The 13,248-nt window shown below is 43.3% G+C and overlaps 1 protein-coding gene across 14 annotated transcripts in view, besides 1 other annotated feature; it reads left to right on the forward strand.

The window, feature by feature from the left end:
- The window catches only part of STARD9 (StAR related lipid transfer domain containing 9), a 145,393-nt gene that overhangs the window by 18,454 nt on the left and 113,691 nt on the right, over nucleotides 1-13,248 (forward strand). The gene's annotated exons all lie outside the window — the stretch shown is intronic.
- Nucleotides 6,739-7,355: an enhancer, noted in NCBI's record as "NANOG-H3K27ac hESC enhancer chr15:42892996-42893612 (GRCh37/hg19 assembly coordinates)". NCBI's record gives its function as "activates a minimal SCP1, AML or CMV promoter by ChIP-STARR-seq in primed H9 embryonic stem cells {active_cell/tissue: H9 hESC(primed)}" and the evidence as "EXISTENCE:reporter gene assay evidence [ECO:0000049][PMID:30033119]".

A 13,248-nucleotide genomic window follows, 5' to 3' on the forward strand; every position in this document is an offset into this window, starting at 1 on the left:
TGAGAGAGAGTGAGCAAGTGAGAGTGAGAGAGACAGACAGACGGAGAAAAGAGAGTGTGCTATAGATTCTTTGGTGAATATCTTTTCCAATTCTGGACTTCAGTGTGAGGATGTCAGGAACCTGGAGAGGCTTCAGAGGGAAACCACACATACTCCCCCAAATGATTACAGAGCTGGACTGCAGGAACCAAGAGGAGCCACTATTAGTGTAGTATACCTCATGGGCATTCCACATGCGATTATTCAGTAAAGGAATGTTGATCCTGCGATGGGAAGGCAGAGATGATAATGCTCCATAAGTACTGAACATGAGGAGTTTTTTTCTGGAACATGAGAACCAGCTGGTCTTTGTTTTCATTAGGATAAAAGAGATTTCAGTTAAATTGCAGAAAATTGTACGTAATTAGGACACGAAGAGTAACTTGTACAGAATTTTTGAATCCTGATACATAGTAGCTAAATAGCTTGACTTTAGAATTCCAGAATATTAATACTGGAAGAAATGTTAAGAGACCATTCAAGATACTTACTTTTTCAGATTGAAGGTCTAGAGAGACAAAATAACAGTTAGAAGTTTTTTTTGTTTGTTTGTTTTCTTTTTGGCCAGTCCAGAATTGTTCTTGATGTGGCTGGGAAATCCTGTTGTTTATTCTAATGGTAGGGGCCATGGACTGCAACACAATGGTCCTAGCATAACAGGTAATGTGCCACTAGCAGAATCTCAAGGAAAGATCTTGTTCTTTAGATCTAACCTGTCCCTGGCTCTGTAGTCAACTGGGATGAGGAAATTGCCCTATTGCCATCTAGTAGTATGGGGAAGTATTCCATACCTGTTGTTATGCGTTCTCTAATGTGACCAGGTGTGATTAGATACTGCTGCCATAAAAGCAGCATTTCTGTTTGGGAAACCCCAACCCATTACAAAATGATAACAAGTGATCTGTTATCTGCTGCCTCAGAAAGTACGCAGGATGAGCTGGAGAGATGGAGTGTGACCTTCCCTTCTTTTATGCCTTACTTTTCTTGTATCTGCTGAACTTGGAGTGTGAATGAAGGTTTTGGGGAAGGTGGAAGAATGACTGAAACTGAGGAGGGACCTTTGAGGGGCTAGAGGAGAGGGAAACATGAGGAACAAACTAAGGTGAGGAGGAATTTGAGAGCTCACAGAGGGGTGGGCACTGTTAGGATTGTGTCACTTTTTTACAGCAGGTATCTCCATTTTAGGGATAGGAACAGGCTCAGATTTGTTGCATTATTGCTTAAGGTCATACAACCAAGTGATGGACGCAGCAATCAAACCTTGACTATGTGACTCCATGGTCCAAGCTCTCGCACACTATACCACATACAACTCTATTCCTGTATTTCCAGTGCTGCACATCTTCCATTATCAATCAATGGCTATTAGATTAATTATTCAATTAAAGGTTCAATGTATGACTGACAAGATAGGACTCTGCCTTCTTGAATTTTGCTGCCTGTTTTGGGAAGGCCTCATAATTTGCCTAAGTTAAAGAACCACAGATGCCAATCAGTTTCTTTGTGCATCCCCTTTTTCTGATGCATGTATGTGCTAGGGGAGCTGGGGAGTATGTGGATTCAAAGCAGCATTTTCTCATGAATATTTGCAGAGCTTTGTACATTCCATCACTAGTGCTGGTTTTTTTCCAACCAAGATGGAGACAGAAGTCGAAGGGAGAGAAGTTTATAAGAAAAAGCCTTTTTGTGCAGTAATCAGATGGGGCTCTGCAGAGCTGAGTGGAAGATGGGAGGGGTTACCATGAGTGTTTCAGTATGTCCCTCTGCCAGCAGCACAGCTGTTTGGTTCCATAAGCATGTCTGTGAGCTGGATTTTAATCTAACTTGTTTTTTCCGTCTTTAGAAACTTGACTGTGAATCTTTAAAGAGTAATTTTCAGACTCGTAGAAACATCTGAAAGACAGAGATTCTTGACAATGTTTGCTGCTCGTGGCACATGACTATGCAAAAATGAACAGTGGAAACTAGAGAAATCTTTTAAAATGCCAAAGCTTATGTGGATTTTTCCCCCTGTAAGACAAGGGTAATGGAAATTCCTTGTGGTAGCTAGAGCCCTTGAGATCCAGGCTGGAGAGAGAGGTTATCTGTAGGGGAGACATGCCCAAAGCTTGATAGTCATTTGCAGATGACCAAGGGCAGCCTAAGCATAAATGGAGAGTTCCTAAGACAGTTGTCCTTGATGTTACCCCATTTTTCTCTTGCTTGGATCTGCAATGCTGAAAATTCCTTATACTCACCCTTTGCACCTTAAACTTGGGTTTGTCCTGGGTTTAAAGCGATTGTCAATTAATTGCTTGAGGAAGAGAAGTATGATGATGGTGATGATTACTTTGAGAGTCTTTGGACAAAATGATTTGCAAAATCTTCTAAACGAGAGGATATAAAATGAACAGCAGCCCTTTGAGCAAAAGATCTGTATGTCCACCACAGTAGACAGGCATGCACAGGCAGACTGCTAACAGGTGCTAAATTTTCTTCCCACATACTTGCACAGTAAGCCTGTGTCCAAGTACCCTCTTAACCCCATTTCTGTAGTCCTCTGTTTGGGGGAGCCAGTGTAGCTGACCAACAAAAGGCTCCTTCTAAATACAACATTCAGAAAAGGGTTCAGAGAAAGTTTTGGGAAAAAATGGTTTCTATTTCTGTGCTCAGCAGAAAGCAGATAACGGCATAAATGAAAATGTCAGCTAATTGATTAGCTTATTAAAATATTTTGCTTAAAGGCAATGTAAGATAATTGCAAAATATTCGAACAGTACAGAAGACTATAATGGTAAAACTAGAAAAGCCTTCCCTTTCTATACCTCCCACTCATCTTATTCTCTAAACGTAACCATTGTTTACAATTCTTTTGGTATCCTTCTAGATAGCATCTATTTCTTATTTTTCAAAGGAGTTAGCATATTAAGGAAATTGATTCATCTGTCATAGATACTACAAACATTTTCCCTGTTTATACTTTTGTTTTGATTCTGTTTACGATTGTGTGTGTGTGTATATATATTTTGTTTGTTTGAGACAAGGTCTCGTTCTGTTTCTCAGCCTGGAGTGTAGTGTCGTGATCATGGCTCACTTTAGCCTCAACTTCCCCAGCCTAAGCAGTCCTCTTACCTCAGTCTCCCATGTAGCTGGGACCTTAAGTGTGTACTACTACTCTTGGATAATTTTGTAATGCCAAGCTGGTCTTGAACTCCTGGGCTCCACCTTGGCCTCCCAAAGTATTGGGATTATAGGCATAAGCCACCGCACCTGGTGCATGCATATATATGTATATTTATTTTTTTTTTGAGATGGATTCTCGCTGTGTCACCCAGGCTGGAGTGCAGTGGTGCGGTCTCAGCTCACTGCAACCTCTGCCTCCTGTGTTCAAGCGATTCTCGTGCCCCAGCCTCCCAGGTAGCTGGGATTACAGGTGCCTGCCACCATGCCTGGCTAATTTTTGTTTGTTTGTTTTTTTAAATAGAGTCTCGCTCTGTTGCCCAGACTGGAGCACAGTGGCACGATCTCGGCTCACTGCAGCCTCCACCTCCTGAGTTCAAGCAATTCTCCGCCTCAGCCTCCCAACTAGCTGGGACTACAGGCACCTGCCACCATGCCCAGCTAATTTTTGTATTTTTTAGTAGAGACAGAGTTTCACCATGTTGGCCAGGCTGGTCTCGAACTCCTGACCTCAGGTGATCTGCCCGACTTAGCCTCCCAAAATGCTGGGATTTCAGGCGTGAGCCACAGTGCCCGGCCAATTTTTGTATTTTTAATAAAGATGTGATTTCACCATGTTGGCCAGGCTAGTCTCGAATCCTGACCTCAGGTGATCTGCCTGCCTCAGCCTCCCAAAGTGCTGGGATTACAGGTGTGAGCCACTGCTCCCAGCCTGTGTGTGTGTGTGTGTTTGTATATATATATGTGTGTGTGTGTGTGTGTGTGTGTGTGTGTGTGTGTGTGTATGTGTTTGAGATGGAGTCTTGCTCTGTCGCTGAGGCTGGAGTGCAGTGGTGCGATCTCGGCTCACTGCAAGCTCCACCTTCCGAGTTCACGCCATTCTCCTGCCTCAGCCTCCTGGGTAGCTGGGACTACAGGCGCCTGCCACCACGCCTGGCTAATTTTTTGTATTTTTAGTAGAGACGGGGTTTCACCATGTTAGCCAGGATGGTCTTGATCTCCTGACCTCGTGATCTGCCTGCCTCAGCCTCCCAAAGTGCTGGGATTACAGGTGTGAGCCACCGTGCCCGGCCCAGCCTATATTTTTAATGTAGTCAAATTTATCATCCTTTCTCTGTGGTTTCATGGTGTGTTAGGCTTCGAAAGGCTTTCTCACTCTGAGATTATAAATGTATTCATCATGTTTTTTTTTTTTCCTGGCATGGTAATGAATTTTTAAAATATTTACATATTTAATCTATTTGAAATTCTTTGGCATAAAAAATGAGGTAGGGCTTCAGCTTTATATTTTTTCCCCAGATAACTATCCAGTTGTCTGAATACTATTAGTTCATCTATTTTTTATTGATATACATATTTTGGGGGTACATGTGATATTTTGATACAATCTGTCATGATCAAATCAGGGTAGTTAGGATAGCCATCGCCTCAAACATTTATCTTTGTGTTGGGAGTGTTATAATTCTTCTCTTCAAGCTATATTGAAATATACAATAAATTATCATTAGTTGTAATTTTCTTACTGTATTATTGTATACTAGAGCTTACTTCTTCTAACACAGTACCGTTTATTGAACACTCATTCTTTCTCCACTGAAGTGAAAGGCTACTTTTATCAGTTAATACATTGCTATATATATTTGGGGTCTCTGTTTTTTTTGTTGTTGTTGTTTTGTTTTTTTTGGCAACCGAGTCTCACTGTGTCATCCAGGCTGGAGTGCAGTGGCACAATCTCAGCTCACTGCAACCTCCGCCTCCCAGGTTCAAATGATTCTCCTGCCTCAGCCTCCCAAGTAGCTGGGATTACAGGCCCCCACCACCATGCCTGGCTAATTTTTGTATTTTTAGTAGAATCAGGGTTTCACCATGTTGGCCAGGCTGGCCTCAAACTCCTGACCTCAGGTGCTCCACCTGCCTTGGCTTCCCAAAGTGCTGGGATTATGTGAGCCACCATGCCCGGCGTATACTTGGGGATCTCTTTTAAAACTCTGTTTTGTTTCCTCAACTGTATTTTTGTGCCTGAACCATACTGTTTCAGAAAGTTTCAAATATACATGAAAACACCATCTTGTTTCACTACTTTTTAATATTGGTGAGGGCTCGTTCTTTCTCAGACTGTCCTAGTTATTTTGGTTATTGCCCTTCCCCAAAATGCCATATCTTTCTCTGCTTTTGCTTATATTGGCTCCTCTTCCTAGTGTATATTAATACATCTCACCTCTCCAGTTTCTATCGTACAAAATACTGCTTGTTCTTTAAGGTTCAGTTAAAATGATGCTTCTTCCTTGAAGTCACCATCTCTTGGATTCTCATAGTATCTTGTTACTCCCTTGTGATACATTCTGTTTACTAACTAAAGTTAATGCTCTTTGGATACAAGGCTTATCTATTTTATTAGTCTGAGTGATCCTTGAAGGCAGACTAGGTCTCATCTATCTTTGAACATGCCACGTTTCCTAGCACAGTGACCATTCATTTATTCATTCATTCAGTAAGCATTTAGGAAGCAACACATGGGGTTTAGTGCTGCGAGGAATACAGAGTAGTAGATGTGATTCCTGCCCTCAAAAAGCTTACAGTCTTATTGGGATTACCAGGCTTTAGGTATGTAAAGATCATCAAGAATAACAAGCATTTAAGTGTTATAATCGTACTTAGAGTAAGTACTTAAGGAATCCAGAAGAATAACATATCCAAAGTTTGTTTTGAATGAGTTCAGGGAGGGTCATTTTGGTTGGAGGGGACAGCTTAAAGACTCTAAGGCAGGAATGTACACCATGTGTTTGAGGGGATCAGGTGGTGCTAGTCTGGGTGAAACTAAGAGGATATAGTCACAGTGCCCATCTTTCCAAGTGTTTCAGGAGGCCAGACTCCTATATTTCACCTCTAAGCTGGTCCAGACTCCTAGAGGAGATGAAGACCAAACGGTTTCTCTGGTACAATGACAAAGTGGTTTCAGAAGCGTACTGGATACTTAGTTGAGTCCAGCCTATATAGGACATGTCATCACTCCCATTCCAGGAAGCAAGAAAGGGAGGATGGGTGCTTTCCCTTTAGATAATTTGGAGGAGCTATGAGGACTTTTAACCTGAGGAGAGGAAGCAGTGTATACTGGATACAAGGTTATAGGTTACAGAAAAAGCATTCTTCACTCAACAAACATTTATCTATTATATGCCAGGGATGGGCTAGGTGCTGGGTAAACAAATGGGGGGTGCTTGTGCATGTGTGTGTGAGAGAGAGAGGGTTTTGCTTCGTTTCTTTCTTTCTTTTTTTTTTTTTTTTGAGACCAAGTTTCGCTCTTGTTGCCCAGGCTGGAGTGCAACGGCACGATCTTGGCTCACTGCAACCTCTGCCTCCCGGGTTCAAGCGGTTCTCCTGCCTCAGCCTCCCGAGTAGCTGGGATTATAGGCATGCACCACCATGCCCAGCTAATTTTGTATTTTTAGTAAAGATGGGGTCTCTCCATGTTGATCAGGCTGGTCTCGAACTCCTGACCTCAGGTGATCTGCCCATCTTGGCCTCCCAAAGTGTTGGGATTACAGACATGAGCCACAGTGCCAGCCTGCTTCGTTTATCTCACTTGATATATCTGTTTTTCTTTCTTTTTTTTTTTTTTTTTAGTATTTATTGATCATTCTTGGGTGTTTCTCGGAGAGGGGGATTTGGCAGGGTCATAGGACAATAGTGGAGGGAAGGTCAGCAGATAAACATGTGAACAGAGGTCTCTGGTTTTACTAGGCAGAGAGCCCTGCCGCCTTCAGCAGTGTTTGTGTCCCTGGGTACTTGAGATTAGGGAGTGGTGATGACTCTTAACGAGTATGCTGCCTTCAAGCATCTGTTTAACAAAGCACATCTTGCACTGCCCTTAATCCATTTAACCCTTAGTGGACACAGCACATGTTTCAGAGAGCACGGGTTGGGGGTAAGGTTATAGATTAACAGCATCCCAAGGCAGAAGAATTTTTCTTAGTACAGAACAAAATGGAGTCTCCTATGTCTACTTCTTTCTACGCAGACACAGTAACAGTCTGATCTCTCTCTCTTTTCCCCACATTTCCCCCTTTTCTATTCGACAAAACCGCCATCGTCATCATGGCCCATTCTCAGTGAGCTATTGGGTACACCTCCCGACGGGGTGGCGGCCGGGCAGAGGGGCTCCTCACTTCCCAGACGGGGCGGCCGGGCAGAGGCGCCCCCCAACCTCCCAGACGGGGCGGCGGCCGGGCGGGGGCTGCCCCCCACCTCCCGGATGGGGCGGCTGGCCGGGCGGGGGCTGCCCCCCACCTCCCGGACGGGGCGGCTGGCTGGGCGGGGGCTGCCCCCCCACCTCCCGGACGGGGCGGCTGGCCGGGTGGGGGCTGCCCCCCACTTCCCGGATATATCTGTTTTTCTACAGGAGGGTTTTCTGAGCAAAACTCTCCATTGTCGGTCTGTTAATATATTCTTTATTTCACCTATCAGTGCAAAGATGGACAGTGTGTTTGATTTATATTCCACAAACCCTATAGCATTAAGTCTAGCGTCAGCAGATGATCTGCAAAAAATTTACATTTTGCTCTATGGACTCTAGAGCCTATTTTACTTTATTTTATTTATTTATTTATTTTGAGGCAGTCTTGCTCTGTCACCTGGGCTGGAGTGCAGTGGTGCGATCTCAGTTCACTGCAACCTCTGCCTCCGGGTTCAGGTGATTCTCCTGCCTCAGCCTTCTGAGTAGCTGGGACTACAGGTGCGTGTCACCACGCCCGGCTCGTTTTTATATTTTTAGTAGAGACAGTGTTTCACCATGTTGGCCAGGCTTAGGTCTTGAACTCCTAACGTCAAGTGATCCACCCACCTCAGCCTCCCAAAGTGATTACAGGCATTAGCTGCTGCACCCAGCCTAGAGCAAATTTTAATTTAGTGTTTGTTTCCTACACCAAAGGCAGGCAGAGTCTTTGTCAGACATGGCAATAGTATGCTCTGGCTTCTAGAACATGGCTGGGTGACTTTATCTCTTAAAGCCAAAGCCAGAAATTGATAATTTACTATGAAATATTTTGGGGCATTTCCAGTTGCAGGTTTTGATATACCTGGCTAAGGTATGGTATGTTCAAGGTAGAGGGGTCGTGACTGCAAGTTGTCCAGGTTCTTGGTGTTTTGAAGAAGGAATTGGACAAAATGCCCAGTAAAGCAAAGAAAGAATGAAACGAGAGAATGAAAGCAGGGATTTATTAAAAATGAAAGTACACTCCACAGTATGGGAGCAGGCTGAGCACTGACTCAAGGGATCAGATACAGAATCTCCTTGGGTGCAAATACCCTCTAGAAGTTTTCCCATTGGCCACTGCATGCTCACCTCATGTAAATGAAGTGGTAGCTTGCAATCTGTCTGATTGGTTGCAGAAGGCAGTCAACCAGAGCCTGAAGTGAAGTTGCAAAAGTCACACTGCTGTGCAAACAGAGGTTAGGGTGAAGTTACAAAGTCATACCTCTATGGTAAACGAAGAAGACTCGGCCAGCAATCAGCCTGATTGGTTGTAGACAGCAACCATTCAGAGCTGTGGAGTGAAGTTACAAAGTTGCAAATGAAGCCAAGACCCCCAACTCCTTCATCCCACCCCTTTTGTTACTTTTGTTACTTAGGCGTGGAAAGTCTAGGGTTTTCCTTTCAGTTTAGTTCTGGGAAGTTGGCGTGAGAGCCTTAGGTTCCCTGCCTCTAGACCCTATTCTCCTGCCTCATATCCAGTATGGATCCTTGCTGCTACTTGCTGCTCTTTCTGAACTGCATTTTTTGGGACTGGAGTTTGGCCTCATATATTCTTTTCCAGGATAAAGTTTGAGGTGGTTGTTACAATATGTTGGCTCCAATTATTCTGTGATTTACATATATTTACACAAGCCCACTTTCCAGTAAAAATAGACTTTTTATTTATTTATTTATTTATTTTCGAGACAGAGTCTTGCTCTGTTGCCTAGGCTGGAGTGCAGCCTGCCTCAGCCTCCTGAGTAGCTGGGACTACAGGCACGTGCTACCACACCTGACTAATTTTTGTATTTTTAGTAAATATTGGGTTTCCCCATGCAAGCCCAGCTGGACTCGAACTCCTGACCCTGTGATCCTCTCAGCCTCCCAAAGTGCTGGGATTACAGGCATGAGCCACCATGCCAGCCAAAAATAGACATTTTAGAATTGTGAGCAGGTGTGGAGGTGAAGAGGAAACAATTTGTGTCTTTGTTCTTGTAATCACCAGATTACAAGGTTCTTGCCTGCTGCCCCATAGAGCCAATTTACCGAGACAGTGGAATCACAATAAAGAGTTGAATAAACACAGAGCCAGCTAAGCAAAAGCCCAGAGTTTATTACTCAAATCAGTCTCCCCAAATATGTGGAGACGAGGGTTTTTAAAGGATAGTTTTGCAGGCAGGGGGCTAGGGAATGGGGAATATTGATTGGTTGGGTCTGGGATGAAATCATAGGGGGTCAAAGCTTGTCTTCTTGTGCTGAGTCAGTTATTGGGTGGGAGGGCCACAGGACCAGATGAGCCAGTTTTGTAAGGTCTGGGTGGCACCAGCTGGTCATCAGAATACAGGGTCTGAAAAATACTTCAATTCCTATCTTTGGTTCAAAGAACCAAAGGAAAAATACTTCAGTTCCTATCTATAGGAGCAATTGAGGAGGTTAAGAATCTTGTGATCCCTGACTGCATGACTCCTGCACCGTAATTTCTAGTCTTGTGGCTAATGTGTTAGTTTTACAAAGGTGGTCTGGTCCCCATGCAAGGAGGGGGTTTGTTTGGGGAAGGGGCTGTTACCTGTTTCAAAGTTAAACTATAAATTCCTTCCTTAGTTAGCTTGACCTGTGCCCAGGAGTGAACAAGGTAGCCTGGAGGTTAGAAGTAAGATGGAGTTGCTTAGGTCAGATTTCTTTCACTGCCATAACTTCCTATGTCAGATTTTTCACTGTCATGATTTTTGCAAAGGCAGTTTCAGTCTGTCTGCTTCTACTTGTTTGATCCACGCTTCTCTTACCTGTCTCTTAAATCAACATCAAATTTGATTTTTTTATTTGTGGAAGCTCATAAGGTCATATAATATGTGATTATTCTACCTCGTTCATTCATTCAGCATGCATTTACATAAAAATATGCCAAGAATTGTGCTAGGCACTGGAAATAACCAATAAGAACCAACATTGTATTTGTCCTTTAAAAACTAATAGTTCTTGACAGAGACAGATACTAAAGAGAGAATTACTCCACAGTGTGGTAAATGTTATCATATTTTAACCAAGGATTTGAAAAAACGTGAAGAGGGAGGAAGATTGTTTTTGTCAGGGGAGGAAATCTAGTTCATAGTATGATTGCTTTATTCAGGATCAAATTGATTTTTTTTTTTTTTTTTTTTTTTTTTTTTTGAGACAGGGTCTCTCTCTGTCCCCCAGGCTGGAGTGGAATGCAGTGGTGTGATCTTAGTTCACTGCAGCCTTGATCTCCTGGGCTCAAGCAATCCTCCCAACTTAGCCTCCTGAGTAACTAAGACTACAAACATGTGCCACCACACCTGGCTAATTTTTTATTTTTTGTAGAAACAAGGTCTCACTATGTTGCTCAGGCTGGTCTCTAACTCCTGGGCTCAAGTGATCCATCCACCTCAGCCTCCCAAAGTGCTGGGATTACAGGTGTGAGCCATCGCGCCTGACCTGGATCGAATGGAATTTAAATCCATATATTCTGTTCCAAAGATGAGAAGGACATTTCTTCTTAAATCTTGAGGGTGCTGTTTCATGTACATAAATTTAACCTCACAGCTTGGTGAGTTTCCAAAAAGATCAAAGACTTCTCAAAGCATCATATGAATTATTCACTAGTCCTAACATGGAGCTCTCTCCTGAGTTTTATTCTGGATGCCATTTAATCTTATAATAAAATAGATATATGAATCATTTGGTTGAGGCTGCTACTTAGCATATTAACTTGATGTATGGTCATTATAGAGGGGCTGGATTCAGATGTTTGAACTACAGCGAAAACCTTTCTGCAGGAAAGGCAGAGTTGACAGTTTCTTATTTTTCAAGTATGAGGCAAAGGAACATGAGCTATTTATAGACTCACTTCCGCAACAGACTGAACACAATAGAAGCCTGAAATCAAATGGTGACCAGATGTGCCCAGGCATCCCCCAAGTCTAGGTGTCAAAATTATAAAAGACAGAGCCCCTGGGGAATTGGTTTCAGGGCAGAAGCAGTGCACTTAAGCCCATAAGATCACCATCTGTATACAAATAGCCCCTTAAACAGCTGGTCCTCAGGAGTGGAAGAGGTAAACAACAGTGTGTTCAAACTCACTTTTCTTGCTTCTCTTCCTAGAAGTGGGGGATAATCCCTTTGTCAATAACTTTATTTCCCAATTCTTGTCTCTCTAGTTAGGCAGTTAGAAAAGATACAGCTGCGTTCTGGGGATATGCGCTGAATTGGTGTCCGAGGAAGATTAATGCAGCTTCCATGCAGTTGGTGGAGATCATGGTTCTGCTGAGATGAGAAGACATCTGACAGGGATGGAAACCCATAATTACTTTTCTTTCTTTACTGTTCCTCCCCTGTTAAACTAATTTCATCTTGTTTGTGGTGGTGTTGTGGCGATGTTTAAAGCACAAACATGTCGTGGTCTCTGGCTGGTATTGCTTTTCCTTTTCTCCCGCATCAGAGATTTTAAGAAAATACAAACAACTTCCTCTTTCCATAAACATCTGGAAACATTCCCATGGAGTTTAGATTCAATTTCAGGGTTTGGAAAAGTTGTACTTAATTTTGGAAAATGTTCAAACCAGCTTGCTTCAATGGGAAGGGAGAAAAGAAAATAGCACTTTTTGAGAACCTACAGTCTTCCAGGTACTGTATTGAGTACTTATCACCTTCACAACAACCCTGTAAAGTGGGTTAGTACTCTGTTTTACAGATGTGCTTACTGAGGTTCAGAGATGAAGCCCAGTTTTAGTCCATTCTACTGTCTCACCACATCCTGCTACCTTTGCACTCCTTCTCTGTGCTAACCTCTAATACTTGGAGTATGACATGAATTAGCTGACAATTGGAAAATATTGGACTGTTAAATCTTGCATTTACTATAGGAAAAGACCAAGAGTCATGAATATAGAACATGTGTTTTCAAGCCTCTCTATTGGCCCCTCTCTCTGAGATGTGCAGAACACCACCTATTTTTAGTTTTGTTTTTTGAAACAGGGTCGGACTCTGTTGCCCAGGCTGGAGTGCAGTGGTGTGATCTCAGGTCACTGCAACCTTCACCTCCTGGGCTCAAGCCACCTTCCCACCTCAGCCTCCCAAGTACCTGGGAACACAGGTGCGCACCACCACACCCAGCTAATTTTTGTATTTTTTTTTTTTTTTAAGATGGAGTTTTTCCAAGTTGCCTAGGCTGGTCTCAAACTCCTGGGCTCAGGTGGTCCTCCCACCTCAGCCTCCCAAAGTGCTGGGATTACAGGTGTAAGCCACTGCGCCCAGCCTATTTTTAGTTTTGTATCCAGAGTAAGTGCTTGTATACATGTACAGTCAGGGTGCTTTCTTCTGAATCCCCTGAGTAGACCTAACTGACCCAGCTACTCTCTAAGGCACAAAAAATAGCTCACCCATTATAGCAAATGGATGCTTCATTTCACTCATTCTGACCCAGAGGCTGGGTTTTGAAGTGTACTTCATTGATTGATTGATTGACAAGGTCTCACTCTGTCTCCCAGGCTGGAGTGCAGTGGCGTGATCATAGCTCACTGCAGCCTCTATCTCCCGGGCTCAAGTGATCCTACCACCTTAGCTTCCTGAGTAGCTGGGACTACAGGCATGTGCCACGTCCTCCACATGGAGGAGTCTAAAGTCTGTGCACAACCCTGTAACCATTGTGCTCTTTTTCCTTCCCAGCACAACCCTGCATTTTTCTGGTGCTTTTTTTTTTTTTTTTTTTTTTTTTTAAGATGGAGTCTCTCTCTGTCACCCAGGCTGGAGTACAGTGGTGCGATCTCAGTTCACTACAACCTTCGCCTCCTGGGTTCAAGCAA

The sequence above is a fragment of the Homo sapiens genome, chromosome 15 (assembly GCF_000001405.40).
Source record: "Homo sapiens chromosome 15, GRCh38.p14 Primary Assembly".
In the NCBI taxonomy this organism is placed as follows: domain Eukaryota; kingdom Metazoa; phylum Chordata; class Mammalia; order Primates; family Hominidae; genus Homo; species Homo sapiens.